This window comes from Homo sapiens, chromosome 4, assembly GCF_000001405.40.
Source record: "Homo sapiens chromosome 4, GRCh38.p14 Primary Assembly".
Taxonomy (NCBI): domain Eukaryota; kingdom Metazoa; phylum Chordata; class Mammalia; order Primates; family Hominidae; genus Homo; species Homo sapiens.
This window is the reverse complement of record NC_000004.12, coordinates 113,587,337-113,604,966: the sequence shown is the minus strand read 5'-3', so window position 1 is coordinate 113,604,966 and position 17,630 is coordinate 113,587,337. Positions and strand designations below refer to the sequence as shown.

Sequence of the window (17,630 nt, the reverse complement as noted above, 5' to 3'; positions counted from 1 at the left end):
ATTTTGATCTCCTTCTGCTGCAAGAAGCACTTCAGTGTTAGGTCAAAACCTTCTACTATGCCAGTTTTCCACAGTCATCAAATTATTTATATCTATATTTTAAAATTTATAGCTTCTGTATTCCTTATTAAATTAAGGGCATGATGAGAATCACACAGTTTATTTTTTCTTGTATCATTTTTTAGAAATTCAGCATAATATTTGGTGAAGAACATAAAGAAAGCAGTTCACATGGAAACAGAATAAGATTTTTAACTAAAGTGGATTATGTCTTTAGCAATGGTATTTGTTTGGGTTATTAATGTCTTTGAAACCAAAGTGAAGAAGGTAAAAGTTTACATACAAACCATAGTAATTTGAAATATGCTGCAACAGGCAACTGAACTTCTGCCTCTAGAATGAAGGGCTCAAATTCTTGCAATTATTCTTTAGTATTTAAAGTTTAAGAGGAGCATTATCAGCAGTTATCCTGAAAATGATCTACCAGTAAATGAGATTAATAAACTAAACACAATCCAATAAAGCATTAGAAAAATTGAAAAACAATGGTTAAAAGTATGCATTTTCAATGACTGAAAAGAGAGCATAACAGATATAAGTGTCTAATTTCTCAAAATTACGTGATCATTGCAGCAATAATCTATGAAAAGGAAAAGTAAGCAGCTTTAGAAAAATGCACATTTTAAATATAGTTAAGAAATATACATTGATATCTTAAAGATATCAATGAAATACTCTCATGGAAAATTAGAGCCACTTACCCAATGAGTTCCGAGATAAAATAACTACTTGAATTCCCAAAGAAGGAATGTTCCTTGTGTTCCTCCTTTTGATGATAGTTTTGGCAGTGTGGTGCTTGTACATATTTCCTGTGGAATGTTAGCTATTCAGAATCTAATGGAAGTTCTATTTTTATAGGTGCATTGAGTCTTCTTCTAATGAAATGATTTTTACTTTCTAAAAAATCAAAACAAAGAACATGAGTTCTATGAAAAAATTTTCTTCTTTTTTTTTCTTTTTAAATTTTATTTTATTATAGAGATGGGGTCTTGCTATGTTGCCCAGGCTGGTCTCAAACTTCCGGTCTCAAGCTATCCTCCCTCCTCAGCCTCCCCAAGTGCTCAGGTGTGAGCTACCATGCCCAGCCTCTTCTTACTGTTTTAAATATATATATATATATATATATATATATAAAATAGCAAGAAATATATAGAAAGATATATATAAAGAAATATAATAGCAAGAAACATATATAATAACAAGAAATATATATATTTCTTGCTATTTTAAATTTATATATTTTTATTCAGTTATCTAGCCATTTTTAACAATAAGGCATTAGTAGTCTCTTTTGCACATAGACTCAGGAATGAATGGGAAAGGCTTTTATGAAAGCAAAGTCATCCCCTTCCTGTATCCATGTGTTCTCATTGTTCAATTCCCACCTATGAGTGAGAATATGCGGTGTTTGGTTTTTTGTTCTTGCGATAGTTTACTGAGAATGATGATTTCCAATTTTATCCATGTCCCTACAAAGGACATGAACTCATCAGGAAGGGGAACATCACACTCTGGGGACTGTTGTGGGGTGGGGGGAGGGGGGAGGGGGGAGGGATAGCTTTAGGAGATATACCTAATGCTAAATGACGAGTTAATGGGTGCAGCACACCAACATGGCACATGTATACATATGTAACTAACCTGCACATTGTGCACATGTACCCTAAAACTGAAAGTATAATAATAAAATAAAATAAAATAAAATAACGCAAAGTCATCTTTACAGCAAATAATGAACTGCCCTGATTTTTTTCAAATAATCCTTTCCAGGGTTTGTGCCTAGCATGGTTTCTAGGCACACCTCAGCGGCTCTGGAGAACAAGGAGGGCTAAGTTTATAGAGATGTGAATTTACCGAAAGATAAGAGAAGTGGAGCTAGATTGTAGTCCCCAAGGGAGAGGCCTTCAGGCAGAGACTTCAGCCTTAAGCAGATAAGGCAGATCACAGATCAAGTTCATTTCTAGGGCTAATGGTAAATAAGGCTTTAACATGGGCAGTCACCTGAACATATGTGTTGGCTTGAAAAATTGTTTTCCCTCTACCCGTTTTAGGTTTATCGGCTGGGACCCCGCAAATTAGACTGACAGGAGAAAGATTAAGGAAAAAACAAACAAACAGACGTTTATTAAACTGTGTATAATACGTTCACATGGAAGCACTCAGAGATGAGTAACTCAAAAGGGTGGTTAGAACTTCAGCTTATATATCATCTTAAAAGAACAATAAATTCTTAGAGAAGAGACAAAACAAAGGAAGAGGACTTTGAGTCTATAGGAACAGCAAATTGTATGAAGGTAAATAGATGAGGATAATTAATGGCAGATAATGGCTGGTTGTAGTAAAGTTTCTTATGCGGATTCCTCTGGTGCAGTCTCCAGGCTCAGGCTCTAGGTTGTCACTAACTTCTGCCTTCCCTGGAGAGAGGGCAGGAGAGAAAACTCTACAAATTTATGTCATGCTTTTAGGCAGACAGAGGGAAAGCAAAGAGCTTTATCTGTATCTGCTTCTTCACAATTGCCTTCAGCAAAAAATAATTTTTACAAGTGGCATACTTTGGAGTGACATATTTTGTTACCCTTCATTAATGACATTTATTTCAGGAACTGTATGTCAGAGAAAATCCGTATTATGTGTTTGTTGAGTGAATACTTGTTCAAGAGACCAAAAAAAAAATTAGTAATTACAGTACAATACAACGTTTGCCACGATATTGTTCTGTGTAGACAGCTTCAAGCAAAAATGGACTTAGTTTAGAGATAGCTTAGCCCAGTTAGAAGTCACTGAAGTAAGGTGTTGGGAGAAATAAAAAAAAAAAGAACTAAAATAGTGTAATCCCTTTGAAAATACTTTATAGAACATAGCTGAGTCTACAAATTTTGTTTCAAGATCATCATTTGTATTTAAGAAGGAGGCTGGGCACAGTGGTCCACACCTCTAATCACAAGTGCTTTGGGAGGCTGAGACAGGAGATCGCTTAAGCCCAGGAGTTCGAGACCAGCCTGGGCAACATAGCAAGACTCTTTGTCTACAAAAAAGTTTTAAAAATCAGTCTGTGGTGATGGCACTTGCATGTAGTCCTAGCTGCTAGGGTGGCTGAGGCGGAAAATCACTTGAGCCCAGAAGTTCCAGGCTGCAGTGAGCTGTGATCACGCCACTGCACTCTAGGTGACAGAGCAAGAACCTGACTTAAAAAATGAAAAAAAAAAAAAAAAAAAAAAAAAAAGAATAAACAGTTAATCTACATAAAATGCATTATATTTTAAATAGCAAACCCTGATGCTATAACTATACTAAATTTCTTGTTTGTTTTTAGAAAATGGAATTTTGTTTGAATCAAAACATCTGGGCTATTTTAAAATGAAATTTAATGTTCATTATAGTGAAAACCAATGAATCTAGAATTTTAGTATGTCTCATGTGGGAAAAATACTGGTTTTCCAGTACGTATACTAACAATTTTAGTGGTTTTTTTTTTCCTCATGAAAGGGCATATCCGGATCGTGTTCCTTTTATTGAAAAATTAATAAAACAATTAATGATTTTGTTATATTTTTTAAGGAAGAACACTTTAAATGCTCATGACATTCTGTCCTTTTAATAGAAAGGGATGCTTTGTCATATACTTTTGATTCTATTCTGAGTGGAAGGCAAAATACACGATTAACTTCTCTCTATTATGGTGCTCCACAGTGGCAAATTAAATCCTTCTACCCACGTATCATGTTTCCTTTATGTTCGTGAAAACTTTCAGTTTGTGTGGGATAAGATATAAACTTGTCTCCTAAAGACTCTTTAGTTACAACCTACAGAAGGAGGTAGGTTCTTCGTGATAAATACTATTTGATATCAGAATTTTTTTCAGGGATAATTGTCATAAATTCCAGAGGGCCTATTTCTATTTTGTTTCTTTGCTTTAGTAATTTTTATTCTTTGATGAGAATAAGGATTTCTTCTTAACATATCTATACCATCACATTAATTCTGTGGCTCATGCTTGTAACCTCAGCACTTCAGGAGGCCGGGGAAGGAGGATTGCTTAAGCCTAGGACTTAAAGATCAGCCTGGGCAACATAGTGAGACCTCATCTCTACAAAAACATTTTTACAAAGTAGCTGGTGTGGTGGTATGCACCTGTAGTCCCAGCTACTTGAGAGGCTGAGGTGAGAGGATCACTTGAGCCCGGTTCATCAAGGCTGCAGTGAGACAAGATTATGCCACTGCTTCCTAGTTGACAGAGCGAGACCCTGTCTCAATTTAAAATAAAAATGGTAATTATTATTATTATTGCCCTTTTTAATACAGATCTGGATTTCTTGGTGTTATATCACCTCCCATATTTATTATAATTCATCTTCATGAAGTTAGATAAAATATTGTGGACTATAGGATTTTTTGAAACTTTGACAATTCTTTTTAAACTTCTAATAAACTTTATATTTTAGATCAGTTTTAAGTTTACAGCAAAAATGAGTGGAAATACAGAAAGTTTCCATATACCCTTATCTCTACAAGTTTACCACCTCCTACACTATCAAAATCCCCATACAACATTAGTACATTAGTTATAATAGTACATTGTACTACTGTATAAACCTACTTTGGTACATGATTATCACCTAGAGTCCATAATTTATGCTAGGGTTCACTCTTGGTGTTTTACATTGTATGGGTTTTTAAAAATGTGTGACGTTCTGTAACCACAATTGTAGGATCATACAGAATAGTTGCATTGCCCTAAAAATCTTCTGTCTTCTGCCTGTTCTGTCCTCCTTACCCCCAACTTCTGGCAACCACTAATCTTTTACTGTCTCCATAGCTTTACCTTTTCCAGAATATCATATAGTTAGAATCATACAGTATATAACCTTTTAGATTGATTTCTTTCACTTAGTAATAAAGTCAGCCCTGGGACAACATGGGTTTGAACTGCACAGGTCCACTTATACGTGGATTTTCCTCCACCTTTGCCATTCCTGAGACAGCAAGACCAACTTCTCCTCTTCCTCCTCCTCCTCTTCCTCCTCCTCCTCTTCAGTCTTCTCAATGTGAAGATGATGAGGATAAGACCTTTATGATGACCCACTTTCACTTAATGAGTGTAAATTTATTATCTCTTCCTTAGGATTTTCTTAGTAACATTTTCTTCTCTCTAACTTACTTTATTTTAAGAATACAGTATATAATACACGTAACATACAAAATATGTGTTAATCAACTCTGTTATCCTTCAGGCTTCCAGTCAACAGTAGGCTATTAGTAGTTAAATTTGTGGGGAATCAAAAGTTATACAAGGGTTTTCAACTGTTGGGGGGTTGATACTCTACCCCTCATGTTGTTCAAGAATCAACTGTACATATTTAGATTTCTTCTATTTATTTTTTATGGCCTTATAGCTTATTTCCTTTTGTCGTTGAATAATATTTCATTGTCTGGACGTACCAGAGTTTATTGACTTACCCAATGAAAGACACCTTGACTGCTTTCAAATTTTGGCAATTATGAATAAAGCTGCTATAAACATCCATATATAGGTTTTTGCATGGACATAAGTTTTCAACTCATTTGGGTAAATACCTAAATGTGCTGCTGATGAATCATGTTGTAAGTGTATATTTAGTTTTCTAAAACACTGCCAGTATTCTTAAGTGGCTATACCATTTTGCATTCACACCAGCAATGAATGAGAGTTCCTGTTGCTCCATACTGTCTCCATAGCTTTACCTTTGTAAGAATTCTCACCAGCATTTGGTGTTGTCAGTGTTCTTGATATTGGCCTTTTTAATAGGTGTGTAGTGATATTCCATTGTTACAATTTGAAATTTCCTAATGACATACAATGATTAACATCATCTCATATGCTCGCTTACCATCTGCATTCTTCTATGGTGAGGTATCTCTTCAGGTTTTTCATCCATTTTTTTATTAGATTGTTCATTTTCATGTTAAGCTTTGAGGGTGATTTGTATATTCCTAGCACTTCAAGAGGCTGAGGCAGGCAGATCACTTGAGTCAAGAATTTGAGACCAGCCTGGCCAACATGATGAAACCCCATCTCTACTAAAAAGACAAAAATTAGCTGGGCATGGTGGTGCATGCTTGTAATCCCAGCTACTTGAGAGGCTTGAACCTAGGAGGCAGAGGTTGCAGTGAGCCAAGATACTGCAAGCCATTATACTCCAGCCTGGGTGACAGAGTGACACTCCATCTCAAAACAAACAAATGGACAAAAAAGAGTTATTTGTATATTTTGGATAACAGAAGCTTTATCCGGTGTGTGTTTTGGATATATTTTCTTTCAGTCTGCAGCTTTTCTTATCCTCTCAACAGTGTCATTTGCAGAGTGGAAGTTTTTAAGTTTAAGTTTTTAAGCTTATCAATTTGTTTCTTTCATGGATTATGTGTTTGGTCTTATATCTAAAAAGTCATCAGCATACCCAAGATCATCTAAATATTCTCCTTTGTTTTCTGGGAAGTTTTAGAGTTTTGTGTTTTACATAAAACATAGGTGTGTGATCTATTTTGAGTTAGTTTTGGGGAAAGGTGTAAGGTCTGTGTCTGCATTCATTTTTTTTTAATGTGAGTTTTCAGTTGTTTCAGCACCATTTATTAAAGAATGTTTTTTCCAGTGTATTGCCTTTGCTCTTTTATCAAAGATCAGTTGATTGTACTTATGAGAGTGTATTTCTATACTCAAAGATCTGTTCTGTACCGTTGATCTCTTTGTTTGTTCTTTTGCCAATAGCACAGTGTCTGATTGCTGTAGCTTTATGGTAAGTCTCAATGTTGAGTAGTGTCAGTCTTCTATCTTTGTTCTTTTCCATCAATATTCTCTTGGCTATTCTGGGTCTTTTTTCTTTTCATATGAACTTTAAAATTGGTTAGTATATATCAAAAAATAACTTGCTGAGATTTTGATTGGGATTTCATTGAATCTGTAGAAAAGTTGTGTGTGTTCTGACTGCCCCCACTGACTGGCCATTCCCCCATTCTTTCCCTTTCCTCAGGCCTTCCTATTCCCTGAGACACAAAGATATTGAAATTAAACCAATAAATAACTTTTCACTGGCCTCTAAGTGCTCAAGTGAAAGGAAGAGTCACACATCTCTCATTTTAAATCAAAACCTAGAAAGAATTAAGGTTAGTGAGGAAGGGATATCAAAAGCAGAGATATGCTGAAAGCTAGACCTGTGCGCCAGTTAGCTGAGTTGTGAATGCAAAGGAAAAGTTCTTGAAGGAAATTGCAAGTGCTATTCCATTTAGCAAACAGATGATAAGACAGCAAAACAGCCTTATTGCTAATATGGAGAAAGCTTTATTGGTCCATATAGGTGATCAAACCAGTTATAACATTTCCTTAAGCCAAAGCCTAATCCAGAACAAAGCCCTAACTTTCTTCAATTGTTTGAAGGCTGAGAGGGGTGAGAAAGCTGCAGAAGAATAGAGGAAAGCTAGCAGAGGTTGTTTCTTGAGGTTTAAGGAAGGAAGCCATGTCCATAACAAAAAAGCGCAGTGTGAAGCAGCAAGAGCTGATGGAGAAGCTGCAGTAACTTATCCAGAAGATCTAGCTAAGATAAGTGATGAAGGTTTGTGCACTAAAAACAGATTTTCAATGTAGATGGAACAATCTTCTATTGGAGGAAGATGCCATCTGGGACTTTCATAGCTTGAGACAAGAAGTTTTAAAGGACAGCTTTCAAGAACAGGTTAACTTTCTCATGAGGGATTAATGCATATGATGACTTTAAGAAGACATGAATGCTCATTGACCATTCCAAAAATTTTAGGACCCGGCCAGGCGCGGTGGCTCATGCCTGTAATCCCAGCACTTTGGGAGGCCGAGATGGGCAGATCACCAGGTCAGGAGATGGAGACCATCCTGGCTAACACGGTGAAACCCCGTCTCTACTAAAAATACAACAAATTAGCCAGCCTGGTGGTGAGCACCTGTAATGCCAGCTACTCAGGAGGCTGAGGCAGGAGAATGGCGTGAACCCGGGAGGCTGAGATTGCAGTGAGCTGAGATCATGCCACTGCACTCCAGCCTAGGCGACAGAGCGAGGCTCCATCTCAAAAAAAAAAAAAAAAATTCTAGGACCCTTAAGATAGATGCTAAATCTACTCTGCCTGTACTCAATAAATATAACAACAAAGCCGAGACGACAGCACATCTGTTTACATCATGGTTTACTGAATATTTTAAGCCTGGCATTGAGATCTACTGCCTGGGGGGGAAGAAAAATGATTTCTTTCAAATATTACTGCACACCGACAATTGACCTAGTTGCCCAAGAGCTCTGACGGAGATGTACAAAGAGATGATTGTTGTTTTCATGCCTACGAACCCAACATCCATTCTGCAACCTCTGGGTCAATGAGTCATATTATCTTTTAAGTATTATTATTAACACATTTTGTAAGGCGATAGCTGCCTTAGATAGTCATTCCTCTGATTGATCTGAGCAAAGTAAATTGACAGCCTTCTGGAAAGGATTTACCATTCTAGATGCCATTTAAGAACATTACTTATTCATGGCAGGAGGTAAAAATAACAACATTAACAGGAGTTTGGAAGAAGTTGATTCCATCTCTCATGGATGATTTTGAGATGTTTGAAGCTTCCAGTGGAAGATATAACTGCAGATGTGAAAATAGCATGAAGACTATAACTGGAAGTGTAATCTGCAGATGTGACTGCATTGATGTAATCTCAGCATAAAACTTCCATGAATGAGGAGTTGCTTCTTATGAATGAGCAAATAAAGTGGTATCTTGAGATGGAATCTACTCCTAGTGAAAATACTGTGAACATTGTTGAATGACAACAAAGGATTTAGAATATTACATAAAGTTAATTGATAACACAGCAGCAGGGTTTGAGAGGATTGACTCCAATTTTGAAAGAAGTTCTCCTATGGGTAAAATGCTATCAAACAGCATCACATGCTACAGAGAAACTTCCTGAAAAAAAGTCAATCAATATGCAGCAAACTTAATTGTTGCCTTATTTTAAGAACCTACGACAGCCACCCTAGCTTTCAGCAGCCACCACCCCATCAGTCAGCACCATCAACACTGAGGCGAGAACCTCCACCAGTAAAAAGGTTACAGCTCACTAAAGTCTTAGATGATCATTAGCGTATTTAGCAGTAAAGTATTTTAAAATTATGATATGTCACATTGTTTTTAGAGATAACGCTATTGCACATTTAATAGACCATGGTATAGTGCAAACATAACTTCATATGCACTGTGAAATAAAGCTGTGACTCATTTTATTGTAATATTTGCTTTATTGTGGTGGTGTGGAACTGAACCCACAATATCTCCTATACTACTTCATGGGTAGTATCGGTATCTTATAATAACAAAATGTTAGTCTTCTCTCCTGTCCCTTGTATCACTGCTGTTATTTATTTCACTTATACATAAGTACACACACACACACACACACACACACACACACACAAGCATACATAATTGAATAAATTGTTGCTATTATTACTTTGGACAAACTGTTACCTATTAGATCAATTTAGAATATGAAAAATAGTTTTTATTGTCTTCACTTATTCCTTCTTTGATTCTCTTTCTGGCTGTAGATCTGAGTTTCCAATCTTTGTAATTTTTCTTCTCCTGAAAACTTTGTTTTAAACATTTCTTGCAAGACAGGTCTACAGTTTCTTTTTGTTTGTCTGAGAAAGTATTTATTTTCTCACATTTGAAGGATAATCTCACAGAATATAGAATTCTAGGGTTTTTTGGTTTTGTTTTCTTCTTAACACTTTGTTTCATTCCACACTCTTCTTCTTGCCTAGTTTCTGAGAATCTTTGTAAAGATTTTTTCTTTGTTTTTTCTTTTTCTTTGTTTTTCTGATGTTTGAATGTGGTATGCCTAGGGATTGTTTTTTAGTATTTATCATACCTTGTGTTCTCTGAGTTTCCTGGATCTGAGGAAACTGTCAAACTGTTATTGCTGTCTCACAATAATTATTCAGGAAGTTATCAGTCATTATTGCTTCAAATGTTGTTACTATTTCTTTCTCTCTTTCTTCTCCTTCCACTATTCCCATTACACAAATTACACATATTTACACTTTTTGTCATCGTCCCACAATCTAAGTTGTCTTGGATATTCTTTGCTTTCTTTTTTATCAGTCTTTTTCTTCCTTTGCTCTTCAGTTTTAGAAGTTTTTTCTATTGTCATATCTTCAGGCTTAGAGATTCTTTTCTCAGCCCTGTCTAGTCTACTAATGAGCCTATCAAAGACATTCTCCATTTTTCTGGTATAGTGCTTTTGATGGTCAAGCTAGCATTTCTATTGGATTCTTTCTTAGAATATTCATCTCTCTGTTTACATCATCCACCTGTTCTTGCATGGCATCTTATTTTTTCCATTAAAGCCCTTCATATATGATTCACAGTTTTAAAAAATGTCTGGTCTGATCATTCCCACATATTTGTCATATTTGACTCTGGTTCTGAAACTTTTTCAGTCTCTTCAAACTGTGTTTTTGCCCTTTAGTATGCCTTGTTATTTATTGAAAGGTGGGCATGATGTACTAGGTGATATGGTTTGGATCTGTGTCCCCACCAGATCTCATGTTGAATTGTAATCCCCAGTGTTGGAGGTGGGGCCTGCTGGGAGGTGATTCGATCATGGGGTTGGATTTCTCACGAATGGTTTAGCACCATCCTCTTGGTACTGTCCTCGTGATAAGGAGTGAGTTCTCCTGAGATCTGTTCATTTAAATGTGTGTGGCCTTCCTCCTTCTCTCTCTTGTTCCTGCTTTCAGCATGTGAAGTGCCTGTTGCTGCTTTGCTTTCTGCCATGAGTAAAAGCTCCCTGAGGTCTCCCCAGAAGCAAATGCTGCCATACTTCCTGTGCAGCCTGAAGAAGAGCCAGTTAAGCTTGCTATAAATTACTCAGTCTCAGGTTTTTCTTTATAGCAATGTGAGAATGGACTAATACACTAGGTTAGGAAAAAAAAAAGCACAACTCTGGTAAATAAGCCTTCAATAATAATAGTGGTAAGTTATGGGGAAAGAGGAAGCATTCTGTAGTCCTATATTTAGATCTCAGTCTTTTCATAAGCCTGTACCTCTAGACTGTGATCTACACTGGTGCTTAAGGGTACAGCTGGGTAGAATTGGGGATTTCTATTTCCCTAGGTTTGTTAGACTCTGATAAAACCCCAGCAGGTTGGGCTCTACTAAAGTAGTTGTTCCTGAGGGCAGACCTTGTTAAGACAAACAGCATTCTCTGCCATATTTCAAAGTTGTTTCTTTTCTCCTCCTTCTTCCAGAAGCAGAAAGAGATTTTTCCTCTGGTATTCACTGTGAAGCTCTGATACAACTCTTGGAAGTAAAACTCACAGAAGTGTGAGGATCCCCTTAAGATTAGGTCCCCCTAAAGTTTTTATCTTTCAGACTTGTCCACACTGATCCTTCAGCAATTCATCAGTTAAAAGTTTATGTTTTCCTACCTCATGATGGTTCAGAGGAGGTTTCTGCTCGTGGATTTCTGCTCTGATAAATTGTGACACTCTATCCTAACCTGTCTTACTCTCCAATTTTAGGGGCAGCAGTTTGCACTGTAAACTCACTTCTATGGCAGATCTAAGAAGAGTGTTAATTTGTCAGTTTGTTCAGTATTTTACTTGTTCTAATTACAGAGTGATGGACTTTTAAGCTCCTTACACACCATACCGGAAACCAAAAGTCCTCATAATGCTTTATTTAAAATGTTAAATTTAGGCTGGGCACAGTGGCTTATACCTGTAATCCCAGCACTTTGGGAGGCCAGGGTAGGCAGATCACTTGAGGCCAGGAGTTGGAGACCAGCCTGGCCAAGATGGCGAAACCCAATCTCTATTAAAAATACAAAAATTTGCCAGGCATGGTGGCACACACCTGTAATCCCAGCTACTTGGGAGGCTGAGGCAGGAGAATCACTGGAACCCGGGAGGCAGAGGCTGCAGTAAACTGAGATCATGCCACTGCACTCCAGCCTGGGTAGAGCAAGAGACTCTGTCTTAAATAAATAAATAAATAAAATGTCAAATTTTATAAAAATCCAGTTATAAACTACTAAATGGTTTGGATTTGAAAATACAAGCAAGGCATAATAATTCATTAGCTGGAGGTCAGAAATCAAGACTAGAAATTTACATTTTTAAGACATGTTTAAGATTATTAGTTTGATCTGTTTCTTATATATTATAGGTTGCCGAGACGGATAATAAAAGCAGTTTGATATTTCTCAGAAAAAAAAATCTGAAACTTTAAAAAAAATCATACTCCATTGGAATTTGATGTTGAGGCATTAAAGAGATTTACTACCTCTTTTGTTTAACTAGATTTTGAAAGCACAATTTTCTCAAAAAGTTAATTAAATGTAAAATCATGGATGCTTATTAAATTGGTGCCTTCTTAAGTAAATTCTTTTCAGCTTCTGGGTCAGATGGTTCTCCTTGAAAGAGGCTAGAATTGCTGTATTCAGTATTAATTGCCATTTTGGAGACAATATCTGTGGACTGTCAGTGACATTCTGCTATGAAAGAGAATCTGGAAAAGTTACAATTTAAAACATGTTAGGCTAAGTTTAGCAGTCAGCTTCTTCAGTATGTGATGATATTTTCTGCCATGCACTCATCCATTTCATCTCCCAGCCTGGACTTTGCAGACAGGAAGCCCAACTCCCACTTAATCCCTGCTTACTTTTCACTTCTACTTGAGACACCCAAACTTGGCAGGTTCTGCTGTCGGCTTGCAGTTAACCACAACCACCAACCCCCCTCAGCTTTGGTACTTTAGACATTCTCTGTAAATAGATTTGCTATTATAATACATTCATTCAATGAATACTTATTAAGTACTAATTATATGCAAAGAACTTTGCTAAGTACTAGAGGTAAACCCATGAATAAGACATATCTGCCTACAAAGAGCTTACAACCTAGTAGAGACAAGAAACCATAAACTGTGGTGAGCCCTAAGACAAGGTGAGCTCCCAGAAGGAAATGGTGTCTAATGAGCTGGGGAATGGGAAGACACAGAAGACTCTACATTGAGTAGAATTTACTTAGTCACAGATTCTAGCTCCTCCCTGCAATGCCAAGAAGAACAACATGTGCAAAGGCCCAGAGGGGACAGACGTGGAAAATTGTAGAAATGTAGAGGTTAGTGTGGATGAGCTATTACATTTAAGGGTGAAAGGAGAGCACGGTAAGGCTCTGAGAACTGAAGAAACCAGCTGGGAGCAATTTCCAAAGCAACTTCCAGTTTTACCATCCTTGCATTAAAATGTGATCCTGATTTTTTAAAATAGAGTTAAGGGGAGTGACCTGATGAGATACACATTTAGAGAAATCATTCTAGCTACAAGTTGGAGAACATTGGCATCCTAGTGAGAGATGCTAGTTTTTGGAACTGAGCAATGCAGTGGGAGCGAATAAAAGTGGAAAGTTTAGAGAGTAATTAAAGGGGTAAAAGTAATAGATATGATGATTAATTGGATCTGAACCTCTTCTATTGAAGCCTTCTATTTAGAACATTTCATTTCTAAATAACTACAATAATCTGATTAGAGAAAAGAAGATTTTATCTCTCATGATGGTTTGACTAGCTGATAGCTGTGTCATTGACAACAGTTAATGCAATGACATTGTGTTAATAGACATTTAGCAGACTCAGAAATAGGTACTTATTCCCTTTTTTTTTTTGAATTTTGACTACGTGAATAAAATAAGTAAAACTTCTAAAATAGGAAAGATAATGGCAATAGGTCCCAGGAAGCTATGTGACTTGACAAACAAGCAGATTTTGAGAGAAGACCTTCCTTCCCTTTACTAACTAAAGCAAGGATGTAAACAGCACTAAAACATACCAGGCACTCAACAAACATCTGTTGAATTGTTGACTTATTAGTTGTTTAATGTTGACTTATTATTTCACATTTTAAATAAGTCAAAAAGTAGAAGCAATTATTGAGCATACATCAGCTGAAATTTAATATATTCATTCTTGATGTATACATGTATTTTACCTAATATACAGTCATATTGTGTGATATGTGTCAGTTCTGTGAGGTAGTGAGGGCAAAGATCTAACTGAGTAGAGTTATTCTGTCCCAGTTATTTTAAGTAAGATGTTACTTTTGTTTTAAAGAATATATGAAAGAGAAATATTAATTAGATTTTTCATAAATGCTTTTGAAGTTTATAAGTTTTGAATTACAAATTAGTAATCTAAAATTAACCAGAACTTTTATTGGAGCCTCAAAAAAAGCTTTCAAAGTAGAACTGGAAGAAAATTATAATTTATGATCTTGTTCATCTTTCTTCTTTGCTGTTCTCGTGTAGTGATAGACGTGTTAATGAAAAGTTTTATGCATAGGAAATTGACTATCTTGAATCATGATTATCCATTGACTTTCACTGTAATTTCTTATATTTCTTGTTAAAAGGGAGGATGGGGAATCAGATTTTAGAATTTTCTTTAAAGGAGTTCTGTCATTCTCCTAAATAACATACTTTTTTCTTCTGTGTCTGATATATTTCCATTTAATTGCCTGATGTTTCTCTTAGCAAGAAATTAAACCAATATACTATCAAGTTAACCTGTCTGTCTTCCCTATCAGATAGATCTCTATCTATATTTGTTTTCTCAGTGTCTTGCTCAGTTTCTGGAACTAGAAAATGCTCAATAAATATTCATTGAGCCAAAGTGAATGTTTAAGATTCTACATTCATTTATCCATTCACTTATTCATTCAACAGATACATTTAGTGTTTTTTTATGTAGCTGGTACAGTGCTGGTCCCTGAAGCCCAAAATGAGTAGGATTTTGTGCCTCTCTTCAAGATATTTTAAGTCTTTTGAATATTCATTTAACCTTATTAACATGCATATATTCAAAATATCATAGAGGTAATTTGGCCATACCATAGAGGTAATTTCCTTCCACCCTTTTGTATCTTCTTTGCGGGTTCTTCCTCATCTCCCAGACATTTAAACGTAGGAGTACAAGGGCTTGGTCCTTGGGCATCATGCATTCTCTGCTTATACTTGCTTCTTAAGAATCTCATCCAGTATCATGGCTTTAAATTATTCCATCTATAAGCTAATGATATCCAAATTTACAACTGCTACTCAGACCTCTACCCAAACTCCAGACTTGCGCATTCTGTTGCCTACTCACTATCTCTACTTGCATGTCTAATTGGCATCTCAAATTTAAGATATCTAAAACAGTTCTCCTCATCTCTCTAAGGTCAAAGTTACTCCTCTTAGTGGCAACTCCGTCTTTTTCAGGCTCACAGTCCAAAAACCTTAGAGTAATTATTGACTCATTGCGCCCTTCTCTTACTTACCATATTTGACTCATCAGCAACTCCTATTAGATTCAAAATACATTCAGAAACTGAATATATTTCACTCCGCTCCAGCCATACTGCCTTACTCATAGCCTGGTGCATGCTAGGCATATCTCAACTTCAAGACATTTGCACTTCTTGAATCTAATATATTCAGAACTTGAATCTGTCAGAACTTGAATATATCTTGAATCTCCACAGCACCCCCTTGGCCAAAACCATTATCATCGCTTGCTGGATCACTGTAAAAGTGTCCCAACTAGTTTTCCTCTTTCTACCCTCACCTTCATATAGTCTTCTCTCAACACAGTAGCCAGAGAGTTCCTATCAAATTCCAAGAGCATGCCACTCCTCTGCTCAAAACACTCCATTGCCACATTGCCTACTGCTCTCCTTCTGACCCACTCAGCCCCAGCCACACTGCCTACCTCACAGCCTGGGACATGCTAGGCATATTGCAGCTCAAGGTATTTGCACTTCCTCTTTCCTTGGCCCTGAGTGTTCCTCTCCCAGAAACCTGCATGGTCTCCCCAGCTCTCCTCTCAGAGCTTGGCTCACAGAGGCCTTCCCTGCCCACCAATCTAAAAGTTGATCTGCTTTCTTCACCAACTTTTCTTAATTCCTTCCTTGGCTTTTTTTTTTTTTCTTTTTTGACACCACTATTAAACTACCATGAATTAATTTATCTGGTTAATTTTCTATATTACCAACTATGACGTAAGCTCCATTAGTGCAGGGACTTTTTTCTCTTTTGATCACTATTATCCCCAGTGTCTAGAGCACATAACAGATGTTCAATAAATACTTTTGCAGAAGAGCACATGAGAAAACTTCTGGGAAGAATATAGCATTGTTTTGCAAAGGGTTTAAAGAGTTGTAAGTGAATGTTTTAGGTTTTCTTTCATCTACTTGCTACTTTGGTTACATAATGGTGCCTCAGTGCCAACTATTGCCTAAGTAATAGTTAATTAGTATGCTCAGAATCATAGAAATTGATTTTTGGTCAGTACTAAAACTAGAGATTTGGTTTAGCCAAGTATCTGCTTTTGAGCAAAATGAGACATCATGATACGTTTTAAGAAATGAAAATAGTTATGCCTGTATGGTCTAAATAGAGGCAGTGTTGTCTCACATGGTATTTATGATGTACTTAAATTGAAATATGATTTTTCTTTATTATTATGATGCTTAATGATTTGAAGTATCAGTATGTACCATTTACCTTGTCTTTTTCTTAGAAACATTTGGCTACTTATTTTTAGCCAGCAAGTAAAGTAGGATATTCAATTACCCGGGGAGCCTGATACTAATGGCTATAATTATTTAAGCAATTGAAGTCTTTCCTGTCATTTTCTTTCTCAAACCCACAAGGTGCCAAGACTGAAACATGCAACGTATATACATGGATTAATATATTTTCTCAGTGGTTGCATTCTTCAATGGAGTCTCTGGAAAGAAAGACTCTTTTGTTTGCTTTTTTAATCTCTTATTTTGGAATCTGAAAACTATTCAACCCTTTCCAGAAATGTTGACCCAAATGGGGCATTTTCATGGGCAGAAAGAAATATTTTCTGCCTGCTCTTGCTTGAACAAAGAAACCTACTGATCTGGATGACATCATCATCATATTTGGCTTCTTTTCCTAGTATTATTGATGATACAGACTTTTTCGAAGGGTATGCTTAGCTGATAATTGTGAAACCCAAAACACTTGGGGACTATGACTAGCGTGTACTGATGATAGACAGCCTCATGCCATAGGAATTGCAATATTTAGACCTTTAAAATTTAGGCCCAGAGTTTGGAAAAACTTTATAACTGACTGTTACTAATAGTCTGGAGAAGGAAGAACACTTTCCATATACACTTAGATTTAAAGCATTGTTTCTGTAACTTTGTGTTTCAATATTAACTATTTCTCAATGAAACTATTTCTCAAAGCAACCTCAATCCTTCAGTTCTCTTTAGTTGTTCAGATAATCTCTTCCTAAAGAAAGCAAAAAATAATTAAGAATAAAGACCCTGCTCTTCCTTTTGAGTGTTACGGTGTGAAAGAGAGTTTTAGAGACTGGGATGTTGTCTCTGCTGAAAAACCTAACTATGTGAATAAGACCTAAGAGTAAAAAGCCATAGTCACAAATGAAATTTGCCTCAGGCGCATGTTACTGAATTGCCTTTATCAGCATGTGAAATTACT

General features: G+C 36.4%; 1 protein-coding gene across 53 annotated transcripts in view, besides 3 other annotated features; it reads left to right on the top strand.

Annotated features, from left to right (window-relative positions):
* The window catches only part of CAMK2D (calcium/calmodulin dependent protein kinase II delta), a 310,707-nt gene that overhangs the window by 156,772 nt on the left and 136,305 nt on the right, over positions 1 to 17,630 (top strand). The window lies entirely within an intron of this gene.
* Positions 11,158 to 11,207: a silencer, noted in NCBI's record as "silent region_15646". NCBI's record gives its function as "represses an Ori minimal core promoter by ATAC-STARR-seq in GM12878 lymphoblastoid cells {active_cell/tissue: GM12878}" and the evidence as "EXISTENCE:reporter gene assay evidence [ECO:0000049][PMID:35858748]".
* Positions 11,220 to 11,514: a silencer, noted in NCBI's record as "tiled region #13729; HepG2 Repressive non-DNase unmatched - State 16:ElonW". NCBI's record gives its function as "represses a minimal TATA promoter and a strong SV40 promoter by Sharpr-MPRA in HepG2 cells {active_cell/tissue: HepG2}" and the evidence as "EXISTENCE:reporter gene assay evidence [ECO:0000049][PMID:27701403]".
* Positions 16,422 to 16,591: an enhancer, noted in NCBI's record as "experimental_72247 CRE fragment used in MPRA reporter constructs". NCBI's record gives its function as "activates a minimal promoter by MPRAs in K562 erythroleukemia cells, with activity observed for both the introgressed and non-introgressed 4:114509617 variant alleles {active_cell/tissue: K562}" and the evidence as "EXISTENCE:reporter gene assay evidence [ECO:0000049][PMID:34662402]".